This window comes from Homo sapiens, chromosome 17 (assembly GCF_000001405.40).
Source record: "Homo sapiens chromosome 17, GRCh38.p14 Primary Assembly".
NCBI classification, from domain to species: domain Eukaryota; kingdom Metazoa; phylum Chordata; class Mammalia; order Primates; family Hominidae; genus Homo; species Homo sapiens.
In genome coordinates this window covers 43,613,331-43,615,887 of record NC_000017.11, presented here as the reverse complement: position 1 = coordinate 43,615,887, position 2,557 = coordinate 43,613,331, and the positions used below count along the sequence as shown (strand labels likewise).

At 51.1% G+C, this 2,557-nt stretch overlaps 1 long non-coding RNA gene across 1 annotated transcript; it reads right to left on the bottom strand.

Moving 5' to 3' along the window:
* Nucleotides 1-1,692: 1,692 nt before the first annotated feature.
* Nucleotides 1,693-2,263, bottom strand: LOC124904008 (uncharacterized). Its single transcript, XR_007065763.1, has 2 exons — nucleotides 2,142-2,263; nucleotides 1,693-1,869 (listed from the first exon to the last, which is right to left on the bottom strand). It is a non-coding gene; the product is annotated as an uncharacterized LOC124904008 (long non-coding RNA).
* Between the last annotated feature and the right edge of the window lie 294 nt (nucleotides 2,264-2,557).

Genomic DNA, 2,557 nt, shown 5'->3' with positions numbered 1-2,557 from the left:
AACATCTTGCTGTTAATGCCTAGAGTTCCCCTGACACAAATATTACCTAACACTTGCAGAGCACTTGCTGGGGGCTGGTACTGTCCAGGGCGCTTCACACAACTCCACCATTTCATCCTCCAAGTCTCCTTTGAGGGCCTTCTATTAGTCCCTATTTGGCAAATGAGGAGCCCAGGACACAGGAGGGTTCAAGAATTTGCCTCATGTCACACAGCAACACCCAGGCATGCTGGCTCCAATGTCCACATCTATCTTCCTTCCCTGTCCAGATGTGGGCCGTGCCCCTGCTGGAACAACCAGGCAGCCGTTTTGACCAAACCCACGGGTCAACCCAGCCAGCTCACTGGTTTGGTGGATGTTCCTAGCACCGAACTAACTAGCTATGGGGCCAAATTAGTCATGCTGGCCTTTGAGTCAATGATCCTGCCTCGACTTGTTTAGACTTTCTGACTGTGACACAGTCCCTCCAGCTCTAGATTTGAAAGAACCAGTAATAGGAAATACTGATTTTGAATTAAAATGAGAAAAATGGCCATTCCTGAAGTCATTTACATCTTAACCCAGGACATTGGCCCACCTTGTCTCAGAGAGCCCTTGCGATCATGCGGCGACACAGGTCTGGGATTGTTACCCCGTTTCACAGATGAGGCAAACCTGGCTGGAGGCAGAGGGGTGGAGTCAGGTGCCTGGGATGGCATAGCCTGCTGGCAGTGGGAACAGAAGCTGGATTTGAACCCAGGCCTCCCAATGCACCGTCCTGTGTACATCCTGCTGCCTGGAGCTGTTCGGTTGGTAACACCGTCTTCGGGGCCCCTGAGCCCCCAGCCACGCGGAGCATCACCACAAAGAACAGGAATGGCTGCGGACCATTTGGCCAGGCGTCTCCCATTTGCTGTGCCTTTTGGCACTGATCTGCAAGGCTACATTAAGCGTTCTTTTCCGAGTTGTTTGTGGGCAGGAGAAGCCATTGAAATTGCAATGAACAGAGGCACCTGGCTCCCCAGGGACAATTTCCGAGTCCATCTCCCCACCTTGTTTATTTGTAAAATGGGAACACAGACACAACTGGTGTATGTTTTCATTAAACCAAGTAGGAGCTTGTGGCATTTCTGTCTGCACTTGAGACATGTTTATACTGCTGAGTCCATTATGAATCTGTTTAATATCCTTCGAATTCTCCGAGTCCTTCCATCCCTGCAGCCAGGAAGTGGGTAATGTGCACACAGGGAAGAAATTTCCAGGCACTCAGACCTTTAGGTAAATGAGGACTCTTTTTTCTTTCTTTTCTTTAAAGAGGGGAAAGCCTGTTGCAAAAAAATTAAATTCTTCCTGTTCAAAATGGTTTTTCCAGTGATCCTTTCCTTGTAGGAAATTGGTTAGGTCCTAGAGAGATGGTGAAGGAGCTACCAGCTAGGGGAGCCTGGGACTAGTGAGAATAGCATCCCTTTGCCCTGGAGAGCCTGGGATGGAGGCATGGAGGTGAGTGACTATCTGGGGGCTGAGAAGGACATCAGGGGATCTGTAGCCAGGAGCTCAAGGTCACCTGAGGGCTGCCTTGGCTACTGGGGGCTCCTGGGAAGCCAGTATCAGACTAATCCTATCGGATTGGGAACAGGCTTCCCACTGGAGTGCTGGCAGGAGTAGCTCCCTGCTTGCTGGCAGAACAGAGAGATATTATTTTAAGGAGAAAAATGAGATTCCTGTTATTGCTTTATTCCTCCTGCAGAAACGTTGGTGCGTCCCAGCCAGGGCCAAGATGAGAGGCAGGTGGTGCCAAGAGAAGGATGAGCTCATCGCATGTGGGGACGTGAGGTGATTCCAGCAAGGCACAGTGTGGAAAAAAAGCTCCATTCTTGGGATCCCAAATCCCTGTCAAAGCAGAACCCTGTGACCCTTCCCTCCCCCACCTCCCTTCTCCATCACTCAGTCCGTCTGCCACCTTCCTTCCCCATCATCTTCTTCCTCCCTCATCTAAGCCCACTCCCATTTAATCTCTCTCTCTTCTTGCATCTTCAACCAAACACTCCTCCTCAGCACCCTTGAGCACCTGTGCAAGTTCTTGTGTGGAGACTGCATGAAGGAAAGAGCCCAGGCTTTGGAGTTGGAGAAACCCGAGTTCAAACCTCAGCCCTACCACTTACTGGCTGTGAGACAGGGGTCTTCTCCTCTCTGCTGTCTCATGTTATCATATGATCTTGCAGCTAGATGAGAAAGAAAATAGGAAAATATCTAGCACATACTAGATGTTCCCTTAATATTTCTTCCTCCCGGCCGGGCGCGGTGGCTCACGCCTGTAATGCCAGCACTTTGGGAGGCCGAAGCGGGCAGATCAGGAGGTCAGGAGATCGACACCATCCTGGCTAACACGGTAAAACCCGGTCTCTACTAAAAATACAAAAAAATGAGCCGGGCACGGTGGCAGGTGCCTGTAGTCCCAGCTACTCAGGAGGCTGAGGCAGGAGAATGGTGGGAACCCGGGAGGTGGAGCTTGCAGTGAGCCGAGATCACGCCACTGCACTCCAGCCTGGGCGACACAGCGAGACTCCGTCTCGGAAAA